Source organism: Homo sapiens, chromosome 13 (assembly GCF_000001405.40).
Source record: "Homo sapiens chromosome 13, GRCh38.p14 Primary Assembly".
In the NCBI taxonomy this organism is placed as follows: Eukaryota; Metazoa; Chordata; class Mammalia; order Primates; family Hominidae; genus Homo; species Homo sapiens.
This window is the reverse complement of record NC_000013.11, coordinates 30636663-30661719: the sequence shown is the minus strand read 5'-3', so window position 1 is coordinate 30661719 and position 25057 is coordinate 30636663. Positions and strand designations below refer to the sequence as shown.

At 39.1% G+C, this 25057-nt stretch overlaps 1 protein-coding gene across 13 annotated transcripts in view, besides 2 other annotated features; it reads right to left on the bottom strand.

The window, feature by feature from the left end:
- Positions 1-953: 953 nt before the first annotated feature.
- Positions 954-25057, bottom strand: part of USPL1 (ubiquitin specific peptidase like 1) — a 42847-nt gene continuing 18743 nt past the window's right edge. For 10 of the 13 annotated variants that reach the window (XM_047430027.1, XM_047430028.1, XM_047430031.1 and 7 more), the window contains 5 exons: positions 23863-23976; positions 18963-19092; positions 14663-14788; positions 8415-8572; positions 954-4246 (listed from right to left, as the gene is read on the bottom strand). In XM_047430027.1, coding sequence (XP_047285983.1) covers positions 2364-4246; positions 8415-8572; positions 14663-14788; positions 18963-19092; positions 23863-23976 — 2411 coding nt within the window. In that variant the 3' untranslated portion in view covers positions 954-2363. The remainder of the gene's footprint in view (positions 4247-8414; positions 8573-14662; positions 14789-18962; positions 19093-23862; positions 23977-25057) is intronic. The other 3 variants (XM_017020314.3, XM_017020315.2, XM_047430032.1) reach the window with 2 other exon arrangements.
- Positions 1659-2418: an enhancer, noted in NCBI's record as "H3K27ac-H3K4me1 hESC enhancer chr13:31233439-31234198 (GRCh37/hg19 assembly coordinates)". NCBI's record gives its function as "activates a minimal SCP1, AML or CMV promoter by ChIP-STARR-seq in naive H9 embryonic stem cells {active_cell/tissue: H9 hESC(naive)}" and the evidence as "EXISTENCE:reporter gene assay evidence [ECO:0000049][PMID:30033119]".
- Positions 1799-1918: an enhancer, noted in NCBI's record as "active region_7543". NCBI's record gives its function as "activates an Ori minimal core promoter by ATAC-STARR-seq in GM12878 lymphoblastoid cells {active_cell/tissue: GM12878}" and the evidence as "EXISTENCE:reporter gene assay evidence [ECO:0000049][PMID:35858748]".

Here is a 25057-nt window from a genome sequence, read left to right as displayed (position 1 = left end):
GGCTCACTAGTAATCTTGGAGCACCCAGGATTGGTTCCCCCCTTCCTCCCAATACTACTACCTAGTGTTGGCGAGGGCCCAGGGAAGTCAGTCATGCAATCACCAAAAAACCTTAAATGTGCATTTCCTTTGACCAAGCAACTCCACTCCTGGAAAACAAAACTTGGATCCATGCAAAAATTTATCAACAAGGCTAACTGCTGCAATTAACAATGGCAAGACAGTATAAATCACCTCAGAATCTTAAAACAGTGAAACAATGTTTATCCATTAAAACAGATACAATAGGATCTCACGTTTATTTAAAATCTATATGCATAAAATAGGAAAATGTTTGTAGTCACTAAGTATTAAAATGCATGGTCAAAAATCTTTTTTTTTGGTATTTTCCTAGTTTTTCCTTGACAATATGCACTACTTTTGTCAGAAAAAAAATAAAACAACACAGAAGCTTAGGAGTAAATCTGACAAATAGATTATGAAGTACTGAGTCCCTAGCAAATAATTTTACTGCAAGGACACTGGCTGCCAGCCTTAAACCTCAGTAAGTACTGCTGTTAACTCAAATCTCTACGGCAGTGGTGCTGTTTGGGCATCCTACTTTAAATGAAGCCTGAGGAGTGGAACATATATTGATAAGCTCAGCACTCAACTGCTGTAATAGCCACTCTACTCAATCTCAGCTCCACAACTGAATGAGTACAGTCTCCTTATCTGTAAGATGTGATAAAAGTATCTCACGCACAGGAATGTTGAGGTCTAAATGAAATAACATCTATCTCATATATCACAACCAACATCTAACAAGCCTCACAAGCACTGGTTATTACTCTCTCCCAAAACAGAACTGTTAGATGGTGTCCCACTTTGGTTACAGAAGTAAATGTCTTGGGAAGAAAGATGGTATTTGTGATAACATGTAAAGTTTGTACATCATCACAAAAACAGGTAACTTTTTTCTGCTATCATTTATTTATAGATTTATTGATCACTTAACATTACTAAAGTTCAAGTAACAAGGTTTCTTGCCCTCCTCTGTATGGAGAGATAAAGGAGATAAGTGACATAGGGAAAGTTTACATTCCACAGCACTCTACCGGTGTAACAAACAGGCGTAGGCTCTTACAGAAGGCCACACAACCATAAGGAAAACTGTCACACATTCATATACCGTATACAACTTAAATCTGCATAAACTCTTGAACTAATGATGGTGGCAGGTGCTCCAGTCAGCCTGCTATCATTCCGGCTGCAGCCTTGGAGCAGGCAAGATCTCCACCCTCCTGGGTGCGGGTGCAGACTCAGGCATCCCTGCACTTTTGGGGGCCTGCTTTTGCAGGCTCGGAAGTGCTTGCCTCTGCAGCTTGGCTTCTCCCTGCTATTGGCACCAGCTCTCAGATCAAAGCAGGGGGGTAAGCCTGGAAGCCATGAACAGGGAGGGCCTGAAGGCTGAGGGCCAGGCTGCCAGTCCCACCTGTAGGAGTGGGAACTGGTGCCTTTTCCAGGCCAGTAAGTATGCACTTCCTCCCCCGAGGCCCGTAAAATGCCCCAGGCTCAGCCAGAACTGAGCAGAGGGTGGGACGACCAGCAACAGGGAGGAGCTACCCTCTCTGCTAAGAGCTTCAGAGACCTGTAGAGACGGCAGAACAACCTGCCTATGGATAGAAGCTATCCTCTCCAGGGCCCCGTCTGAGAGCAGCAGGACCTCTGGACAATCTGCCTGCGAACAGAAGCTACCTTCTCCAGGGCTGCTTCTCTGCTGAGAGCTGAGAGGAGTCACCCTCTCCAGGGCCTTTTCTCTGCTGAGAGCTGAACACTTGAGGGACGACCTGCCCGCCGACACAGGGGAGCTGCTCACTGTGGGTCTCCTTCTGAGCTGTTCTAACACTAAATAAAGCTCCTCTTCTTCTTCTTCACCCTTCATTTGTCTGCATATCTGGACACAGGACAAGAACTCGGGCACCGTGGGCAAAGCGCCACGAGCAACAGGTTTCCAGGGGAAGAAAACCACCACAAAGATCACTCATAACACTAACATAACCAAAACTTCAAATCTAAAAATGTAATGCATCCAACTGTACAAACTGTCAGAAACTAGACGCCACTTTTCATCTTTAACATTTTGAAATCCTCATACTCTCACAAGAACAAAATGAAACCAAAAAGGAGAACACATTCAGTGATTTTAATGTGTAAGAAAGATTACATGCTTCATGGGCAGAACCAAAGGTTAAACCTTGCATTTTGTTCATGGTTATTACACAAGTAATTACACAAGTCCAGTGTATAAACACTACCTGAACACATTGTAAGTTCTTCTAATAATAATAAATATTATATGAAAAAAGTTAACAAGCATTAATTCAATAATTCTCAAACAGATATTCATCGAAATGAGGTAGGTCTAATGTGTCATTTGCTAAAGCATTTAATGCTGAGGAGGAAAAAAACTCATCGAAAATATCAGTCTTCATCGGACTCTCCAAGTTTAATGTTCTAACGCAGGCATTATTTGTCAGAGAGTCTGGCTGAACTTCACATGGATTTTTCTTGGTGGGGCTACAATAATTATGGTCCTGTCTCAGATGTGTGTTCTGGGAAACATCATTGAATTCACTTGGTACTGGTGGTGGGATATGACTATCTCCCATTCCCAAATACCTAAAGTCACCTTCCCCATTTTCTGACAGCTCTGTTGAAACAGGTGTAGGAGACAATAATTCCGCTAAAATTTCTTCATGAGTTTGACTACTGTACAGGGAAACACCAGGAACAGTGGTGCATGCAGACTCACTGGCAATATCAATTGGATATGGTAGCTCATTTAACAAGTCCTCTATTGATTCACAATCATTTGGAGACCCATCCTGGGGCACCTGTTCTAGATTTTCACTTCGAACTGTTCTGCTTTGCGGGGAAGACATAAGAGCAGCTAATTTCTTCTTTTCTGCCTTTAGCTTTTTACGAAGTTTTAGACGAAGTTTATGAATCTGACCTTCCACCAAGTCTTCATGGTTTGCTGAAGAAATACCATTCCCATAAGAACTGTGGTTGAGTTGAGCTCCACATGAGGTGCTTCCAGACTTTTCCAAAACTTCTGAAGCAGCATGAGCATGTGGGTGGGCAGCTGTGCCATTAGACGATGGAGGGCCTGCTGGTGGCTTACTGATGGGAGGAGGCTTACTTGCACTCTTACGAGCTTTCTTGGATACGTGGCTGGCCTTCTGGTTTATACCTTTAGTTTTAAAGCCACCAAAATTATTTACCCCTTTAACTGAAGGTTGTAAATCAGTTATAGTGTTTCTATTATGAGCTGAAACACAGAGTGGCATAAAAGAAGCACCCCTGCTTATTAAGCCTTTAACCCAACTTCCCACAAATGGCTTCTTCTGATTTTCTTTCAGAGACTGATTCTGTAATGACTTAGATGTTGTGGTTTGAGAATCTGCTGTAGTTTCTTTTTTCTTCAAATTAGATACCTGAGATGTGACACGTTCTGGTTTTAATTGTTCAGTTTTTGGTGTAAGGAATTGTTTTAACTGAGCGTCCTTCTCAATTTCTACTGACTTCACTCCCTGTATAAGACCAGTAGCATCAGTATTATTCACAGATTTAGTATTTACAGTATCTTCTGTATTCAGCTGTACTGACTGCATGTTTGTATTTACAACTTGGGATGGAAAACTTATGTCCACAAATTGGTCTTGAATAAGCTTTTCATTACATGGAGCTGATACTGAAGAAGCCATTAGTGATTCTTGTGATAGCAAAGTATTGGTTTTGAGAATTCCTGTATTTTCTGCTACAGGTTTATTTTCTAACAGGAAAGCTTCAGAATTTAACTGTGAAACTGAGGCTGTTTTCTGGATAGTTTCTTCAAGTGTCAGAGGTAAAATATTGTCAACCAAACCTTTTGGACCTGAAAGTAAATGATCTCCATGAGTTACAGCTGTGTCCTGTGAAAGAGTACGAGGGGCAACTGATATATCTTTAGGGTGAGTTACTGAGGCTGTTTCAGCTGAGGCAGCATCACCCACAGAACACGATGTTAAAGATACTGGTTTCTCATTACTGAGAGCGTGTTGGTCATTAGTCTTTTTAAGTGGAAGGCAGGCAGCTTCTTTATCTGTCACTTGGGATATTTTTCTTTCCCAAATAACAATATGTATCTCTGAAGCAGGAACTTCAAATTTCTTGTGCCTTTCAGAACATGGGCCTTTTAAGTCATCACATTCCAGCCAACTTCCTGGAAGATGGGAAAGAAGTGAAAGTTAGATATTCAAAAACCACCATCCTAGGTTAACTTTCTTCTGGCCTTTTCAACTGTTGTATCATTGAATACCGACCAAAGGAGAAGACTCTAAAACATGTTCTTGACCTTGTCACCATTGTCTGCCATGTTAAAGTCCTTAGATAGAGTATATTTAATTTTTGGAACTTAGAATTTGGTTATCACCTAATTTATCCAATAACATCAGAAAACAGAATGTTTCATACATATATGTTTTCATGATAAATGAAGCTTGTTACCTGAAGGATCACTATTCGTTTTAATTCTTGTTTTATTTCTGAGCTTCCATTTTCACATTTGTCAAGAGAGAATGAGATGATAGATGACAAGGGAAGAGTTTAAAAACTAGCAGTAGGATGCACTACCAAATACTGAAATATTAATACAAAACTTGGGAAAAGTCCATTACTTAAAGCAGTGTGTCGCTGGCAGTTATTTTTGCCTGAACAATTTCAATGGTGCCAATAGGGAGAGGGGTCCTTATGTAGTCAACTAAAGCATGAATGAGGAGTAAGAAGGTAACCTGTTTAAACCATTCCTTTAAAAAAAAAAAAAGACACCCATTAGGATGGATATTATTAAAAAAAAATAGAAAATAGCAAATGTTGGCAAGGATGTAGAGAAATTGGAATCCTTGTGTAACGCTGGTGGGGATGTAAAATAGTACAACTGCTGTGGAAACAGTCTGGCAGTTCGTCCAAAAATTAAACACAGAATTACCGTTAAGACCCAGCAATTCCTCTTGTAGGTTTATGCCAAAAAGAATGAAAAGCAGGGACTTTCAGTTCCTTGTCCACCAATGTTCACAACAGCATTATTCACAATAGTCAAATGTCCGTAACAGATAAATGGATAATACATACAATGCTACTCAGCCTTAGAAAGGAATGACATTCTGCTACATCCCACAACACAAATGAATCTTGAAAATATGCTGAGTAAAATAAGCCAGACACAAAAGGACAAATAATGTACGATTCCACTTCTATGAGGTATCTAGAATAGACAGATTCACAGAGACAGAAAGTAGAATAGTGGTTACCAGGGCTTTGGGGTGGAAGGATGCGGAGTTATTGTTTAATGAGTAGTTTCTGTTTGGGTTGATGAAAAAGTCCTGATGGTGATGGTGGTTGCACACAATGTATTCAATGCCAATGAATTGTACACTTACAAATGTTAAAATGGTAAATTTTATGTTATTTATATTTTACCACTACAACAAAAAAATACAAAAAGTACGGCTGAGAAGTAAAGGAAGGTGGCTAGGTGCTAACAGGTGGTGTGGGGTTAAGGGAGGGTATATTTCTTTACATTTTACTTACTACCACATGATAATTTGGGAAAAGCTAACCACGGGCTTGGATGAGTAACAACCTTTCTTAATAAATAATCAACAAATATCTGTACTTTCATTAGAAACTTATCAAAACAATCCATACTTCCACTGTATATATCAATATCTACACATCTATGAAACAGAAATAGATACAAGTGTAATGTCATGGTAATTGCGGCACAGCAAATACGTAGCTTACTCTATTTCTATGAAACCAAATGTGATAAATTAATAAATCACGATGTCAAACACCATCGCACTTACTACAAAACATTTCCTATTCCTTGGATTACAACAGTGCACACCCAAAGCACTATATTTTTTTCTAAGGAGTATATTATTTTAGAAAACATTGTTTTAGCAGTAGAGAAGTAATGACCAACACAGTGGTCATCATTTTATGTTGCAAAACATGTTAGAGACACTTACTTAAATATTGAAAGTGCGCTCAGTTTCTCTTTTCCTTATACAAGTACATCTATCCTTTTTTGAAAAAAAGATTTCTCAGAGCACACACAGAAAACTCATTTGACATATCTCCCACAGTCACTTTTTAATGCTCAGAAAGACCTTATCTTAAGATTGTGAGGGATAAAGGGTACTTGCCACCAGACTTCAAAGCCTTCCTACAAAGAACTAATCTTAAGGAATGCAAAGATTAAGAAAGGAGAAAGAGACCTTTCCTTAGTTGTCACTTCAGGCCAATTTAGTTGCCAACAGGCTGGTTAATGTTAAGGTATCACTAGTGACTATCTGAGAACAACAAATGTCTAGGACTCAACACAGACTTAAAACACATTCCCCAAAAAGAAAAATTTACAGACCAAATTAAAATATTTATTAAAATATAAGATATGGCCGGGTGCGGTGGCTCATGCCTGTAATCCCAGCACTTCGGGAGGCCGAGGCGGGTGGGTCACCTGAGGTTGGGAGTTCAAGACCAACCTGACCAACATGGAGAAACCCTGTCTCTACTAAAAATACAAAATTAGCCGGGCATGGTAGCGCCTGCGTGTATTCCGGCTACTCAGGAGGATGAGGCAGGAGAATCACTTGAACCCGGGAGGCAGACGTGGTGGTGAGACAAGACTGCGCCAATACACTCCAGCCTGGGCAACAAGAGCAAAACTCCATCTCAAAAAAAAAAACATATATATATGATCTGATATAAAAAAAGTAAACTGAGCATTACTTTTTTTATGAGAGCATTAGTCACATAACAGACATATGAATGAATAAATGAATTAAAAAGACATATGAATTAAAAAAAGTCACATAACTTTTTTTAATGTGAGCATTAGTCACATAACAGACATATGAATTCTCTGATAAGTTTCAAAAGGGAAAACAAAATATACTCAGAGATGCTAATCCCTCACATACACACAAAACAAAACCGTTCACTAAGCATGTGGTTTATGTGGCTACACTCTTATCTACTACCTGCACCTACCCATTAAATAGACAACTTTATGTATCCTTTGTTTGCCTGTGTCAGTGGTTCTCTACCACATGACCCACACTGGAATCACCTGGGGAGCCTTGAAAACAATGTTTAAAACAGTATTGCCATAGCATGTGCCTGTAGTCCTAGCTACTCAGGAAGCTGAGGCAGGAGGATCACTTGAGCCCAGGAGTTTGAGAACAGCCTGGGCAATATAGTGAGATGCTGTCTCAAAAAAAAAAGAGAGAGAGAGAAGGAATGAAGGAGCAAAGAAGGAGAGAGAGAAAGAGAGAGAGAGAGAGAATGAGAGAGAGGAACGAAGGAAGGAAGGGCGGGTAGGCGGGCCAAAAACCAATACCAAAAACACCCAACATTGATATTTGGGCCTAATCCCCAAGGCTGGTCTAGGGTACAGCCTGCACATTTTTAGAAGCTAAATAAATGATTCTTCCATGCTGTCAGGGTTGGAAACCATGCTGCACCTGAAGTGGATTGATCATTCTTTGAAATGCAAAAAAAGTTAAAATAAGTTGTTTTGTATTGTAAAGAACTACTTCCACTCAAATCTGAAACAGGGTAAAACCTTAAGGTAATAATTACATTTATAACATAAGTTACAGTTTGTAAAGTGCTTTTATAATATGGTATTGTGTCATCCATTCAAACCATCCCCAGGAGGAAAATAGGAAGTGTGAAAGAGTGTCTAAATAACAGAAAATGGTTATATCAAAGTGAGCCCTTATCAATGGCTTGATACAACCCTTTAAGGGGATTGAGTTATCTTGTCTAAGACAAAGTGAACATTATGAGAAAAACAAACTCAATATTTTACCATATCAGACAAATGCAAGGCAAAAATTCCCAAAATCCATAAACTGTGCTTACTTAGCTTTCCACTAAGAAGTTTAATTATTTAAATAAAGGCTTTATCTTGATGGTAGCTGTTAGTAAACTATGTATTTCACAATGACAGAAGGGCTACGTAAGTCTAATGTTTAATAGTCTTAGAAATATGTCTAAAAAATAAAAGCAAAGATGTTAAGTAGGGAAAAAAAAACTGAGCTAACAGTAGTAATCTCATCCTTTGTCTAAAAGAGAAATACACACATGCGCATGTGTTTACCTATAATACATGATGTAAGGAAAGGAAAAAATGAGACAGGATACTAAAACCATCACTTTTAATAGATGCGAGGAGGGGCAGAAGGCAAAGGCGAGAATGGAGAGAGAAAGAGTCAGGACAAAGTTTGTCTTTTTTTATAAAACAAAAACCAAAAAGTCCCCACATGCTAGAATTTAGTTTCTATGCCAATTATCTTAAAAGAAAACCTCTAAACACTTACCATCAGCATCTAAAATCCATGTTATAAAATGATTATTTGCTCGATACTGAATTACAGAAGTTATCTGATAAAGACAGCCTTCAAAATGAAATGCATAGTGCTGCAAGTCATTCTGTGGTAAGCCTTCTACAAAGTGCAACATGAATATGGGAGATACTCTGTGGGAGAGAAAAGCAAGAGAAGTTAAATAAATTTAATGCCATGTGTCTGATTATACAAAAGATGTCTGAAGTGAACTAGTCACACATAACACTTCCAAGGCTAACTGCACTAATTTTTCTTGAGCACCTCCAGATGTGTGCCTTAATTAGAAATGGAGAACTCTCTCTAAGAAGTATGTAACACTAAACCCTTTTCAGAATGGTATCCCAGACAGTTGGAAGTCATCATGCAGTATGACTCTAACACAGACCATTAAACAAAAATTGCTCTGTAAGCAGCAATGCAGCTTTGTCTTAAAAGTCCCATTGTAGCTACTTTGTAAAATCCAAGGAAAAAATCCAGACCTTTTAGAATTTTCTTTGGCATCAAGTGCTGAGATTAATTGCTTTTGTTAAGTGGGGTAGGTAACATGTGAAAGAAAGCAACAAACCTAAGATATTCAAAAAAGCATTAATTTGGCCTATTTCAGTTACCTCAGGAAGCAAAGGGGGCCTGTCAAATTAAAAGTTCTACTTAGGAAAAGTTCAATTTGTAACTAAGTAGAGAAAAAAATACAACATATTGGTCAATTTATTATTAACTTCAAGACAACTATAATTTCAAAATTGTATTTTACCATTACAGCAACATGCTGAACCAGAAAATAGAACCCAATGGGTCTCAAATAACTAAATTTAACAAAGCTCTCAGGATGTAAGAAAAATGTTGAATATCCCCTTTCCCAATATTTAAATAGCTGTCAAAACTTACTTAGTTTATCAAAATTTATTCAGCCTAAATGAATTTGAATCAATGTCCAAACTGCAGATTGTTCAGACTGACAAGGTATAATTTATACATTAATCCTTGTCAATCACTTTATTAGAGAATAATTAAGTCCTCAAAATTTAAGTACCTACAAAATAAAAAGTCCTGCAAACTGTCTATAACACTAAACTTTCCCACTTTAAAAAATCATATCTATTTCATCAAATCTAAGATTTCACTAATTATAAAATGTACCACTATGAAAACATGCTGCCAATTAAACTATATCATGACATCAATTTCACATATTACCATTTCAGACAGGTTAAAATGTGAACTACATGTCTGAATCAATGAACCACAGTAAAACTTGAGATGTATTCTCATAGCGAGACACACAGGCTTTAGGCACCTATCTGACCTTTTTTTTTTTCTTTTTTTGAGACAGACACTAGCTCTGTCACCCAGGTTGGAGTGCAGTGGTGCAATCTCAGCTTACTGCAATCTCCGCCTCCTGGGCTCAAGTGATTCTCCCACCACAGCCTCCTGAGGAGCTGGATTACAGGCATGCGCCACCATACCACACACTACTATTTTTAGTAAAGACAGGGTTTCACCATGTTGGCCAGGCTGGTCTCGAACTGCTGACTTCAAGTGATCTGCCTGCCTTGGCCTCCCAAAGTGCTGGGATTACAGGCATAAGCCACCACGCCTGGCCTGACTCTTTACTAATATTTAGTTCCTTGACCTTATATAATACCTTTCAAGATACTTTCTGAGGCTAGTTACTAAAACAATCTCTTGATCCCTAGAATATGAAATCTCACTAGTTTCCTGCCTTTACATAAGTTTACACGTGGAAAATATCTTAAGACATATTAACGTGATAAATAACGCATGTAAAACCACCTGACACATTTTTATGCTTCTTGTACATTCCAAGTCTTCTATTCTTTTGCAAATTAATAAAAGTAAAAACTGCCAAGACCAAAATCCACACTCAGCCCAATTCCCTGGATGTAGAAGATACTCAGACTCTAGCTGAGTACAAGTACATTCCCCTAGGTAGTAAGAAATGACTTGTCAGAAATCTCCAAAGTCTGCTATGAGATTCAGATAGGATAGAAATTTGATTTTCTTAACCAGCAAAAAAGAGACAACAACTAGAGCAATTATATGTTAAGTTTTAAAATATCCTCTTAATTACACTAGCCTTACTGCCACAAGATCGACCAGTACACCAAAGCTATCCAGGGTCTGATGTGGAGTGAAACGATGCAGAACAGAGATGATGCAGAACAGAGCCATAATGCAGAGTTTTACTACCATGTCGAAAATCTCGGTATGGCCTCCATACTACTTTCTGTAACTATGAAATTTTTTTTTTTTTTTTGGTTTGTTTGTTTTTGAGATGGCGTCTCACTCTGTTGTCCAAGTTGGAGTGCAGGGCACGATCTCAGCTCTCTGCAACCTCCGCCCCCTGGGTTCAAGCGATTCTCCTGCCTTAGCCTCCTGAGTAGCTGGGACTACAGGCGCATGCCACCACACCCAGCTAATTTTTGTATTTTTAGTAGAGATGGGGTTTCACCATGTTGGCCAGATTGGTCTCGAACTCCTGACCTTAGGTAATCCACCCGCCTTGGCCTCCCAAAGTGATTACAGGCATGAGCCACTATGCCCGGCCGAAACTTTGTAAGTTCCAAATGCCTAATGAATTCCAAATTTTTTCCCATTTGTTAACATCTCTGAAGTCGGGATACACCTTAACATTGACAGAACACAGTTAAATAAGCAGCATTTCTTTCTTTTTTTTTTTTTTTTTGAGACAGTCTCACTCTGTTGCCCAGGCTGGAGTGCAGTGGCACAATCTCTGCTCACTGAAACCTTTGCCTCCCCAGTTCAAGCAGTACTAATGTCTCAGCCTCCTGAGTAGCTGGGACAATAGGCATGTGCCACCATATCCAGCTGATTTTTGTATTTTTAGTAGAGATGCGGTTTCACCACGTTGGCCAGGATGGTCTCAAATTCCTAGTCTCAGGTGATCTGTCCGCTTCAGCCTCCCAAAGTGCTGGGACTACAGGCATAAGCCACCATGCCCGGCCAGCATTTCTTTCTTAATGGCATATTTTTAAAATGGTAAAACTTACAAACAGTAGCATCTTGGAGTCAATCAAATAATATCCTTCCCCTTCCCTTTTCTGTTCATTTTCCTCTTTGATTCCCCTAGACTCTAGTGTCCTACTTACAATTCCAGCATGTCTTATTTCCAGCCTCACTTTGGGAGGCCAAGGCAGGTGGATTACCTGAGGTCGGGAGTTCGAGACCAACCTGGCCAACATGGTGAAACCCCATCTCTACTAAACTTTATCCCTAGGTTTTGTTCTCAGACTTCTTCCTACCCACAATGCCTGAACTGTCAGTGAAGGATGATGCTCAGAGTCGAGGAGAGCAAGTTAGGTTCTCCCTCAACCACTGGAAAATTGGATGAAAGGAATTAACCAAACTGGAACCAAAAGAGAACAAGAGACATCAGGCTAAGATCCATTTGAATTCACCTAACATGGGGTTAAACTCCTCCTATTTAAAGATCTATCCTTAGGAAAAGAAAAGAAAATAGAAAAGAGAGAAAGAAAGCACAAGGGAGCTGTGTTAACCTCTGCTACCCAAAGATAGCAGAGAAATATCGCGTCCCTGTGCTACAAAGCATAGCCATAGCCTTGCACTCAAGAGAGACTGTGGCAGTGACCTTTCAAGAGTTTGTCAAGTAAAATGAAATCTGATTCTAAGTTCTTGGTGCTCCATGTCACCATGGTCTGAATGTAACTCCTAAACAACTTAAAGAAAAGTAGCAGATTTGGGCCCGCTAGGCATAATTCACCTGATTTATCAATGGACTCTTTTCCCAATGGGGAGACATTAGAGATGTGGGTTATGTGAGATAAGGTGTCCAAGGAACTTAATTAGTTTTTAGGATTCTATATGTTTTAATTACATATGACACCATGATGAACCCAATTACTTTTAGGTTAGCCCTAAAAACTATATTAAATTTATTTCTAAATTCCATTAGACACAAACAAATCAAGTTATACAAATTTCAAAATTAAAAAAACACAAAGGACTTATATAAAGACCTTGGCATTTAAAATTTAAGTGAAACTTCATACACTAGTTCAATTTACTTTTGAAGAAAACAGGAAATGCCCACATTATAAATTCTGCTCATAAATTGGCCCACTGGAACTCAAAACACATTTTCCATTAAAAGACTTTTACCTAATGAATCCATTTCCAGATCAGAGCATGAATCTTTAAGGGAAGCAACTTATTTGTATAGTTAAAAAATATATATGCTGCAGTGCAACCAATTAACAGATTACACAAAACAATGGTACGAGTCTATGTTCAGTGCTGGGGCACAGGAAAAAGCAGGTATGAACAGCTAGATGAAATCATATACACCAAGCAGCCTAAAGCAGGCCATGGTCCAAGGCAGGATGGCAGACCCCATGCTCTGCTGCTCTTCTCCTCACCTCATCATCAACATTTACATCTCAAAACTGACACCTGGCAGCCAAGACAGATTACAGACTTCTGTAATCTTCAGACAGATACAGACACCTCCTCTTCCTTCCCACTTCGCCCTCCTACACAAATGCTATCAAATAATAGTGAGGGGCAAAAAAGATATGAGTCCAAAAGGACAAAGAAAGGAAAATAAGCAAATAAGAAGTCAAATATTTAGAGGACAGAAAGCAAACAGAGAAGTGGCACCTTACCCAGCAGAACGGGCAAAGTGAAGACATGAGTACTACGGAGTGCATATGTTGATGACAAAGAAGAGCTTATTTTTCCCAGAGAACCCCTAAAGGACTGGATATTTATGGGCAACAGATGTGATAGAATGTGGGGATGAGGCCTTGGGCTAAAAACTACGATAGTGACTGGAAGTGTGTACATAATAAAGAGCACCCTATGCTGCAGGCCCAGAGAGGAACCAGCGCAGACTGCAGCAAAGAGTGAAAGGTGGCAGGAAAGAGTTCCAGGAAAAAAAGGGGAGAGGAACAGAGTAAAAAACTGTGAAGCATCTGAGTATTGAAAATTTATTAATAAGTCTTTAAAGTATTTGGCAAAAACTCACAGTACATAATAAAACAAATGAAAACAAGGCAAATAACAATTCCCGGAAAAATAAGAATTGTAAAAGTGAAACCTAACTATATATACTGCTTGGCTGAAGAGGGAATAACACATGTATATTAATAACAATGCAAACACCGAGTACTGAGTTAGCCAAATACGCAATTGCATTGAAAGGACAGGGAAAGGCTAAACAGAGATGGGGCCCAGGTGTTGGTGTGAGAACCCTAGTCTCAATTACTATAAAAGGAGAACAGACTGCATTACGGTAGAATAGGCACATCAATTTGAAAAGTAAAAGTAAATACTACCTTAATTTGAAGGTTTAAAGTAGATACCTGGAGGAGGGAACAGGGGACTACTGCCCTTTTTCCCTTTTGAGCCTGTAAGCACTGATAAACTGAGGATTTATTACTTCAATGAGAATAAACCTTTAGGAAAGATTCTGAAGGGTTTCTGGCACATTCAAGGGCATAAAGGTTAATGTTCCCGGTTCTTTATTACATCAAATTAGACCTCAAAACATTTCCTTAATGTACGATTAGACTGAAAATGAAGAGTAGAGAGGTTGTGTACATGTGTGAGTGCATTAATGAGACAGAGGGAAACGGCCTGAGATGGAACTGACCTGTGAGTTTAAACAGATGGTTCTCTGGTAATACTGGAAAAGGTAATGCTGACCAACCTCCCCAACTGAGGACAAACAGAAAAGCTGGCAAAATACAATGAAAATATATCTGCTCAAGGCCACTAGATAGCTTTCAAGATGATGAGGAATTAGCATGCTGAGATCTAGGAGAAGATGGAAATTCAGAGAGATGAGCCTGTGGCTTATCTTTGAATCATCTTAGTTCTTGAAATCTGATTAAGGAAATCCCAGAATTCTAGAAACTCCATACACTTGGCAGAGGAGAGAAAAACTGAAGCTTGATATCCTTAAAGGGAGAAAAAAGGCAAAAAGAAGGAAAGACACTAGGAGAGTGGGGCCAGAGAGTCAGCCTAAGTTGGCTTTTCAGTGGCTTCACCGTGACAGTGGGCTCACTGGCCAGATAGAGCGAGGCAGCTGGCAACCCAGAAATATATGTTAACTCAAATTTCAGAAAGGTAAGTTGTTGTCACCATTTTCAATCCTACACATTAAGAAAAATGTAAATCCACCTTCATTTTGTACTAAAAATTATAAGACAATTTTAACTCACTTTTCTAATACCATTTTTCTTATTTGTGATTTACTGTTGCAATTGTTACATGGACCAAAATGGGCAGCATTAAGTGGGTGCCACTCAGGGATGACATTTGTAAAGGTGACCAGACTCTTCATATGCCTATAAAAAAATGACATAACAAATTCATTAACGTTAAATGCATTTACATTAATTTAAACCAATGTCTAAAAGTATTCCTCCCCTTTTTCGTGATTCATACTTTCTTATTTCCCCAAATCATGTTAATATGGCAATGTTCCTCCCTACCTCTAGTAAAGAAGCTCTGTGAAGATGCTCCATGTTAATTTCCCATATCTTTCAACTATGAGATGAAGCAAGAAAAAAAGACAGGGTTCCTCAATGGTATCACTGCATTTTTCACCAGAGAGTCTTTGCTGTGAAGCACTGTCCTGTGCACTGTAGGATGTTAAGCATCATCCCTGGCCTCTCCTCACCAGATGCCAGTAACGGCATCCAGTTGTCTGTAGATGTTGCCAAATGTCCCAAGGGGGAAAAAATAGCCCTTAGTGAAGAACCACTGTTCTAAGGTTGTCAAATTTATTAAGAGCTCACCCCTTACTCAAATAACTCAAACTGGCTAGCCATTACAGACAACCAAAAATGAAAAGGGGATGTTTCCAAACATAAAATCAGGAATACATACAACTTAACTTTTTTTAATCCTTAAAAAAAAAACACACACACACACAGCATTAATTGTGAACAAATTTTGTTTTCACAGGTTACACAAGTTCTAAATTTGCACTTTAGTCTGAATACTTGAGAGCAACGCCATCTAAAAAGATGACCTTTAAAGATGTACACTAAACCTCAACTGCATCCACTTTAATAAAAATATTTGTAATTTAAAGAGCAGCTACTTAAGAGATACAAGCTTCCTTTCTAAACAATAGCAAATACTTATAAATCTTGTGAGGAAGCACTGTCTGTTAAAAACATCAGTAGTCAGGGAGGTTAACATTTTAAAAGCAAAGCAACATAAAGATATCAACAAATGCACTGATTTCTGCTAAATTCTTAAATTTTCAAAGATAATTGTTATGTAAAGGCTCCTACTGTTTAGTTTATAAAAAGGAGACTGTCTCAGCAAGTAAGTGTTAATTCTCCACATGACATCTGACATTTCTGAACACTTAAACTATGTGCAAAGGGCATGGCACTGGACACTCATCTTCCAAACAACTCTCAGAGGCAGGTGCTATTCTTATCCCCATTTTACAGATGGGGAAAGTGACACATAGAGTACAGTGATAAATAACAGACCTGAGATCTGCCTCTGAAGACTATGTTTTTAACTGACTCTGGGTTACACTTTCCAAGTTGAGTAAAAAGCCCTTATGCTGGCACTAAAAACAGCTTCACAAAAACAAAGGAATTTGCTGGACAGTTCTCCTTCAGATTAAGTGGAAATAAGTTTTAAGTTATGACATATTAAAACATATTTAAGAAAACGTCACTTCATTTTAGCTTTCCCTCTATAACTACTTTTATTTTTAGAACAAAGTAAGATTATTTTTAAAAAACAAAAAAGCAAACAAAAGCGGCTAGTGGCTTCCCTCCCTTGAGCTCTCACAGTTTGTGCTATATATCTCTAAAACGCATTTAACATCTTGCATTCAAAGCTAACGTTAAGCAGCCCAAAGATCAGATTAATTACGAAGTCACTGGACCTCTATTATGTGTTCGTGTATTATCTCTCTACCTAATTAGTAAATTTGGCAAAGATACACTATTTCCAGTGCCTGAGTTCCTAACACACAGAAGACACTCAACCGAAAACTGTCAAACAACTAAGATATGGATTCCAGAGAAGCTACAATTAAGCTGATTTTAATCAGCAAGGTTATTTATATTATTTAAAACCCAGGTAGTGATTAAGGAGTATACCACAGTGAGCAAGAAAGTCTTAGAGGCCAGAAGAGCCTAAGTGTGTCTCCTGACTCTGCCACTTACAGTGTGTCATCTTGGGAATCAATCTAACCCCTTTCAAGCTGTCATATCCATACGTGCCAAATGAGGACACTAGGATCTTCCTCACTGAGTTACTGTGAGGAGAAAACCAGAGAATTTATATAAAGCAATGATAGAAGACTGGAAACAGATGTGTTCTCATACTCACTTGCTTACACTAAATTATTTAAGTCCTAGGTATGAATAAAACGTTAATTCTCACCCTGTTCTAGTGGGAGTTTTGGGGACTATTACAAAAGTTTACTCAACAAAAAGCTTAATATGAAAATTTATCTGACCCAATTTTTACATCAGAGTAAAACAGGCCCTTTGGAGAGGGGACGTGGATTTTTCTGCAGAGCAGCCATTATGTATCTTTGTTCCATGGCTTTTAACACGATGAAACTATTTCCCTGTATCACCACCATGCCAATATCGCTCTGTTGCCCACCAGCTGCCATTCCACACATTCATCTGTCTCAGGATGCATAAAGGGACCAAATCCTTGCGATATTCTTTGGATATGTCTGCCAACAGTTAATTTCAATGATAACTTCTCGTCCATAATTTTTTCAACTCAGGAGGGTTAGCTTTGCTCATGGTGTCTACTCTGTGGCCTCCCTTACCCTGTTCTAGTAGATCTGAGTTAACCAGTTAAAAAAAAAACAAAACCTTTGTTGCCTGCATTCCCTGGAGCATCCTCCCAGACTGAACTCTCCTTGACTACTCCTTAAATACCTAAAAAGGATTTCATATTTAGATAATGAATATCTAAGTAATTTTTTTTAATTTTTTTTGAGACGGAGTGTCATTCTTGTTGACCAGGCTGGAGTGCAGTGGTGCAATCTCAGCTCACTGCAACCTCCACCTTCGGGTTTCAAGTTATTCTCCTGCCTCAGCCTCCCGAGTAGCTGGGACTACAGGTGTCCGCCATCATGCCCGGCTAATTTTTGTATTTTCAGTAGAGACAGCGTTTCACCATGTTGGCCAGGCTGGTCTCAAACTCCTGACCTCGTGATCCACCCGCCTCGGCCTACCAAAGTGCTGGGATTACAGATGTGAGCCACTGTGCCCGGCCTTCAAAAGTAATATTTTTATCTCACATTTTACTTGAGTAACTTAGAGAGACTTCAAGTTTTCTAACTTAAGCACTTAAGCTAAAGAAAAGTGTGGCTAGGCATGGTGGCTCACACCTGTAATCCCAGCACTGTGGGAGGCTCAGGTGGCTGGATCACCTGAGGTCAGGAGTTCAAGACCAGCCTGGCCAACATGGCAAAACCCTGTCTCTACTAAAAATACAAAAATCAGCCGGGCGTGGTGGCACACACCTGTAATCCCAGCTACTCAGGAAGCTGAGGAAGGAGAATCGCTTTAACCCAGGAGGTGGAGGCTGCAGTGAGCCGGGATCACGCTGCTGCACTCCAGCCTGTGTGACGGGAGCGAGACTCCAACTCAAAAAAAAAAAAAGGGCGGGGGGGGGTGGAAAGAGTTATTTCTATTGTAATAATTTGAATACACGAACAATTGAGCCAGTCTGGTCATCTTCCTAACTGCCAGCCAGCAACTTTCTCAGGTATGGACCAAGTGAGAATATCCCTCTGGGAATACCTTGCCTCCCTGACTCCTCTTCTAAAACCTATTCCTCTCCTTACGTGGTGGGTACAGGTTGAATATCTCTTATCTGAAATGTATGGGACCAGAAGTGTCTCCAAGATAAAGAGGTAACCTGGGGATGGGACCTGAGCCTAAACACGAAATTCATTATGTTTCATATACACCTTATGCAAAGCCTGAAGGTAACAGGTACATCGATCATGGCCTTTCTAATACGCTGCTGAGAGGCATTAGGAAAAGCAGAAAGTATGGCTGAGAAGACTCATGTGTAGGCTTCTGGAGGTGGCTGGTCTTTCACAGGACTACGGGAAGAAATGGGGAAGCTTGCATTACCTCTGAGAATTGCTGCTAGCCTCCAAGAGCCTAAAACTAGTGTCTATAATGTTAGAAACCTAAAGTAAACAAGCAAAACCCCTCATTTCTAATAGAGGAATAAACAAAAATGCCTACAGTTTCATGGCATTCTGAGAGGTATTCTACTCAGCAAGGACTCTGGAGAAGGGAGGTGTATTATTCCTCTCATCGTCCCTATTTCCCACTGAAGAACTCCTTAGGAAATATCCTACTAGCAGTCTATCAAACGATGAGGTTTTGACCCTTCCAGTTTAAAGAAGCAAGCAAACTGTAGTGTCTGGTGCTCAAATTGTTCTCTTAACCTTAGTGGTGGAGAAACTAGAAGAACCCATTTTAAAAAACAAAAGAAACTAACCTGTTTTGATATTGGTGTCCACACTGCGAACATTCAAAGTCCCAAGAAAAAGAATATAGGAAGAGCTTTTCAATGTGGGTTTCTAGTTTTAAGAGCAGGGGAAATGCAAACACAGGGCTTTCCATATCACCTTCAAAAAGAAAAGGAAGAATTACTGCTCATAATCAATAATGGCAAAAACTAAACCAAAATTGTGAACTATTGTCTTTTCTTACTATATTTACAGCATGAATATGTGTTAATACAGTATGACACAATAAGTCACTCAGAGTTGGGAGAGGGGAAGTTTATAAAGCATTTTTCTAAAAATGTCCATCCTAAAGATTTAATTACCACTTTGATCTCTTTCCTTTTCCTTGGCAGACATTTATGAAAATTTCTTAGGACAAAAAATCCACAAAAGACCCATACTGTCTTCCATCTTTCTAGATTTCTCAGGAAAAAAAAAAAGATCTCGGAACTATGATAAGCCTTAGAGTATATTAAAACAAAAATTGATGAGGTGTGGTGGCTCACACCTTGTAATCCCAGCACACTGGGAGGCCAAGGCAGGAAGACTGCTTGCGTTACCTCTGAGAATTGCTGCCAGCCTCTAGGAACCTAAAACCAGTTTCTATGAACGTTTGAGACCATCCTGGCCAATATAGCGAGGCATTATCTCTACAAAAAATAAAATGAAATAAATTAGCTGAGAGTGGTGCTACACACCTGTAGTCCAAGCTACTTAGGAGGCTAAGGCAGGAGGCTCATTTGAGCCCAGGAATTTGAGGCTGCAGTGAGCTATGATCATGCCGCTGCATACCAGCCTGGGTGACAGAGCGAGACCTCGTCTCTAAAAAAAAAAAAAAAAATTATGGAAATGGTTTGCTACAGATGTTAAAAAATGTAATCAGTGAAACACTGTAGAAACACATCAGAATTGGCCATTTCTATTCTGATCATCTTGTTCCACCTGTGGAGAGGGCGTGGCCACACAATGGTTAAATGACCAGCCTCAACTCTTTGGACTCTTCATCTACCGTTCTTCTTAACTTTTCAGTCTAATCCTTTCCTTTAACAACTTTACAACTGAAGATTTGAATCTTGTTGTCATTGAAAATAACTGAACAGTGAATGCTGGCTTCCAGCTTTGAGACTGGAAAGTAAGGTAAGCAGGAGAATCTACATGTTTCCCATTCTTTTTCCAATTGGTTGCTCTCCTTCCTATTCTCAGAGGAGCTTAGATGCTGCCTTACCGATTTGGCCCAAGAGACTGAGTCCTTCCATCCCTTCCCCTACCCTGCACAGAGCCTCACTTCCATGGTCCAGTTCTCCCCCTAGCCTGGAACTACAGTTGCCTGGAACATGGCCAGGAACAGTCACCTTCCATCCCTTCCCCTACCCTGGACAGAGCCTCACTTCCATGGTCCAGTTCTCCCCCTAGCCTGGAACTACAGTTGCCTGGAACATGGCCAGGAACAGTCACCTTGGCAGGACCACAAGGTAGACAGTAGGTGTTATTACCTAAGCAATAACAATCATGTGGGGTTTCTAAAAATTACTGATTTCCTGAGCCCCTTCCCTGAGATCCTAATTCAAATGTCCCTATGATTGGTATTTACTTTTAAATTCCCTCGGTGCTTTTTAATGCACAATTGAGGTTAAAAATGCTAGATCTGTCTACTGGGAAAAGTACTAGAGAAGCAACTAACAATATGTCCCCTAAATATTCTCCCGGTTCTGAGAACTGCACCCACTCTCAAGAGGTGGAACACCAGCCTACATATTTATATGGAACAGCTCTGCCCTACAATAACTTACCCAGTGGTAGATTCCTAAGTCAAACTACTCAGATTCTCTCTCCCAAGAATATGATCATCCAAGGTAATCAAACAGTATTATATTTCCTTATGATGTACATATTTCTACATGGTAGATGAGTATAATACAAGCGAGTTATACCCTAACCCTAAGCATATTCTATAAATATCAGTAGTTACAAAGGCTATTTTAGTAGTCACCTTTGCGGGATAGTCTCACTGCTACTTTTGAACAAAAACATTAAAAAAAGTTTTTTTGTTTCTTTTTGAGAAGGAGTTTCGCACTTGTTGCTCAGGTTGGAGTGCAATGGCGCAATCTCTGCTCGCTGCAACCACTGCCTCCTGGTTTCAAGCAATTTTCCTGCCTCAGCCTCCCGAGTAGCTGGGATTACAGGCACCTACACCACGTCCGGCTAATTTTTTGTATTTTTAGTAGAGACAGGGTTTCACCATGTTGGCCAGGCTGATCTTGAACTCCTGACCTCAGGTGATCCACCCGCCTCGGCCTCCCAAAGTGCTGGGATTACAGGTGTGAGCCACCGGGCCCAGCCATAAAATAAGTTTTAAAAAGTTTTTTTGTAAGTAGAAATACAAATCAATATCCTAGAAATGAAAATATGCAACACTGTATGCATAAACAGTATGTCATATAGCACAATTTTGTAATTCATTATCAGCCTTTAAATCCGTATTCTATTGTAACTATATATTAACTGAAAAAGCAAACAATTTACATTTCATAATGACAATATAAAATCTTCAGGTCTAAAATACATAAAGTTCTCCATGAATTAAAATATTATGAAAGAGCTCAAAACACATCTTTAAATAAGTTATATGATTACAGAGCATTTCATTAGTAAGATCTTCAGCTAAAATATAGCACCTATCCTTGAATGGGCAGTAAAACAAGAGAGGAATCCTCCTGCACTGAAAAGAGCTGTATGCTTGCCCAATTATTATGATTACACAAAACAATAATTTAAAAATTCCTTCTGTTACATAGAAAACCAGGCCCATGGCGGAGGTGGAGCAAAAGATGTAACTTTGTTCCAAAAATAATTATCAGGGATAAGAAGGGTAGTGACTCAGGCTGGGGGAGAAACCATTCTTTAATTCAACTGGGAACTGAAGTAGGGAGTCTAGAAGGGAAATGGTATCTGCTAAATGCACCACGAAAGCCCTTCCATCTAAACTCTAGGGATCTTACGGAAAAAGCTCCTTTGAAATGAGTATTCGCTCAACAGATCAGTGGCTGGGGGTGATGAACCTGGTGAGAAGTTTTAGAGTGACAGAGTCCTATATCTTGATTGTAGTGAGGGTTACAGAGCTGTACACACTTAAAAACGGTCTTACTATATGTAAATTACACCTTGATATAAAGAAAAAAGAATATTCATTCCATCTGAGGGCCTATCTGATGCATAAATTACAACAGTTCTTCAGGCCTAGAGGAGGAAATGTCAGAAATTTGGCATACGAAAAATCAGACTTTTATAAGAACAGAATAAATATGTATGTATAAGTCCATGAAAAATAAAGCAGATATACAACTATTATATATTAATTTTAATAAAATGTAGGAAAAAAAGTGAAAATTAGGGGGCAGAAGCATGAGTCAAAGAAGTACGTCAAAAGCTGTCCAGCATGTACAAAAGATGCCATGCTTCCCGATATATATATATACACACGCACATACACACACATACACACATATATATATATATATATATATACATTTTTTGAGACGGAGTCTCGCTCTGTCCCCAGGCTGGAATGCAATGGCGTGATCTCAGCTCACTGCAACCTCTGTCTCCCAAGTTCAAGCGATTCTCCTGCCTCAGCCTCCCGAGTAGCTGGAACTACAGGCACACACTACCACGCCCGGCTAATTTTTGTATTTTTAGTAGAGACAGGGTTTCACCATGTTGGCCAGGATGGTCTCAATCTCTTGACCTTGTGATACGCCTGCCTTGGCCTCCCAAAGTGCTGGGATTACAAGCATGAGCCACCAAGCCCAGCCTTATAAAATATATTCTAAGTATATAAATATGTTATAAATATATTGTAAATATATTATAAAATATCATATTTTATAATGATCTGGAAGCATGGTGTCTTTTGTACATGCTAGACAAATCAGTAGCAACAACTGATTTTATTATAAAATATAAATATCATTTTTTAATATAAGTTAAATGTCACTCATTGAGAGAAAAACTAGAAGGCACTGATATTTTACATAATATGGGTTATTACTAATAGGGAGTATCATATTCTGCTACTATAACATTAATAGAAGAGTTAATACAAGGATACAAGAAAAATAAAACAAAAAGCCCTTTCAAAACAAAAACAAACAAAAAAACCCCGCAGCTCCTTTTCGCAATACTAAAAAAATTTAGAAAGGTTTGGACAGACTCTCTAGCTCACTTGCTGCACGCCACTCCCACAGGCCAAAAACCAAGTCACAGAGAACAAAGAGGTCCCATCCTTGTGCCCTTTCTAAAGGCGAGGAAGCTTTCCCAAAAGGCCATCAGCATATTTCTCTTAATATCCACTGGCCAAAACTCTACCACAAGGACATTCCTAAACCAATCACTGGTAGGGAAGTAGAATTACTATGGTTGGTTTAGATGAGATTCTAAACCCTGGGTACATATAACAATCATGTGGGGTTTCTAAAAATTACTGATTTCCTGAGCCCCATCCCTGAGATCCTAATTCAAATGCCCCAGCATTGGCATTTACTTTTAAATTCCCTCGGTGCTTTTTAATGCACAATTGAGGTTAAAAATGCTAGATCTGTCTACTAGGAAACGTACTAGAGAAGCAACTAATGATATGCCCCCTAAAATTCTCCTGGTTCTGAGAACTGCACCCACTCTCAAGAGGTGGAACACCAGCCTACATATTTATATGGAACAGCTCTGCCCTACAATAACTTACCCAGTGGTAGATTCCTAAGTCAAACTACTCAGATTCTCTCTCCCAAGAATATGATCATCCAAGGTAATCAAACAGTATTATATTTCCTTATGAGGTACATATTTCTATATGGTAGATGAGTATAATACAAGTAAGTTTTACCAATTACTTACCTAATGTGCATCTAAGCTGGGGCTGAAGGCTAATAAAAATTTCATCTCTAACTTCATTCAGACAGGTCTCTATCTCTGCAAATATTTCTGAGGTAAGTTTTTTACAATCTCCATCTAAGAAAATACAGAGAACATTATCAATTCCTCATCAATGTATATCTTCCCACAGAAAACTGACACATTCCCAAGAATGAAAGCTGAGTCAGTAAGTTTTGCAAACAGACAAAAAGCAAAACACAAAATTTCCTTAATTCTTTCTCTGTGGTATACCATATATTCCCTTAATATATGCTATCAGCACAATATCATTAGTACTTACTGAATGGGTAAAATCTCAGTGAAAGCCTTTCTCACCCAAATAATCACAGGTCTAGTAAAATAACTAACCTTTCAGATACTATGTCTATCTCTAAAACAGCTAAAGTTACCTCCTTATGTGCAATTACTTATACTACAAATGATGTCTAACCATTTATTCCACTCTGTGTAACTTTTATTGAACTTAGCCAGGTCATAGGAACAGATAAATTTATAAGGAGTCTTAATAAAGTTACAATTATTTCCCAAACTAATATCTCATATTTCCCTTCTATGTCATTTTTGAGGGGTTTGAAGGGGTCTTCAGTGGCAACATAGTGTTTATCCGGTTCCACATCCTGCTTTGTCTACACAAATGTGCTTCATTAAAAACTGACCAGCCTGGGCAACATAGTGAAACCCCTATCTCTTAGAAAAAAAGCTGGGTATGGTGGTACCCACCCGTAGTCCCAGCTACTCAGGAGGCTGAGGTGGGAGGATCATTTGAGCCCAGGAGGGTTAGGGTTCTACAAGCTGCAGTGAGCTGTGATTGTACTACTGCACTCCAGCCTGGGCAAGTGAGATGCTCTCTCAAAAAACAAAAACAAAAACAAAACAACAACAACAAAAAATCTGGCTAGTTATTATACAGTGACTGAAACATAGCACTTGTGTGTGTGTTTGTGTGTTTGGAGACAGGGTCTTGCTATGTTGCCTGGGCTGGTCATTAACTCCTGGGCTCAAGCCATCTTGCAGCCTCAACCTCCTGAGTAGCTGGGCTTACAGGCGCATGCCACTATATTCAGCTGAAACATCGCTTTATTAATCATTCTCCTATTGCCAGACATTTTAGTTGTTTCTTTTTTCACTATTATAAATACTATTGTGATAAATACCT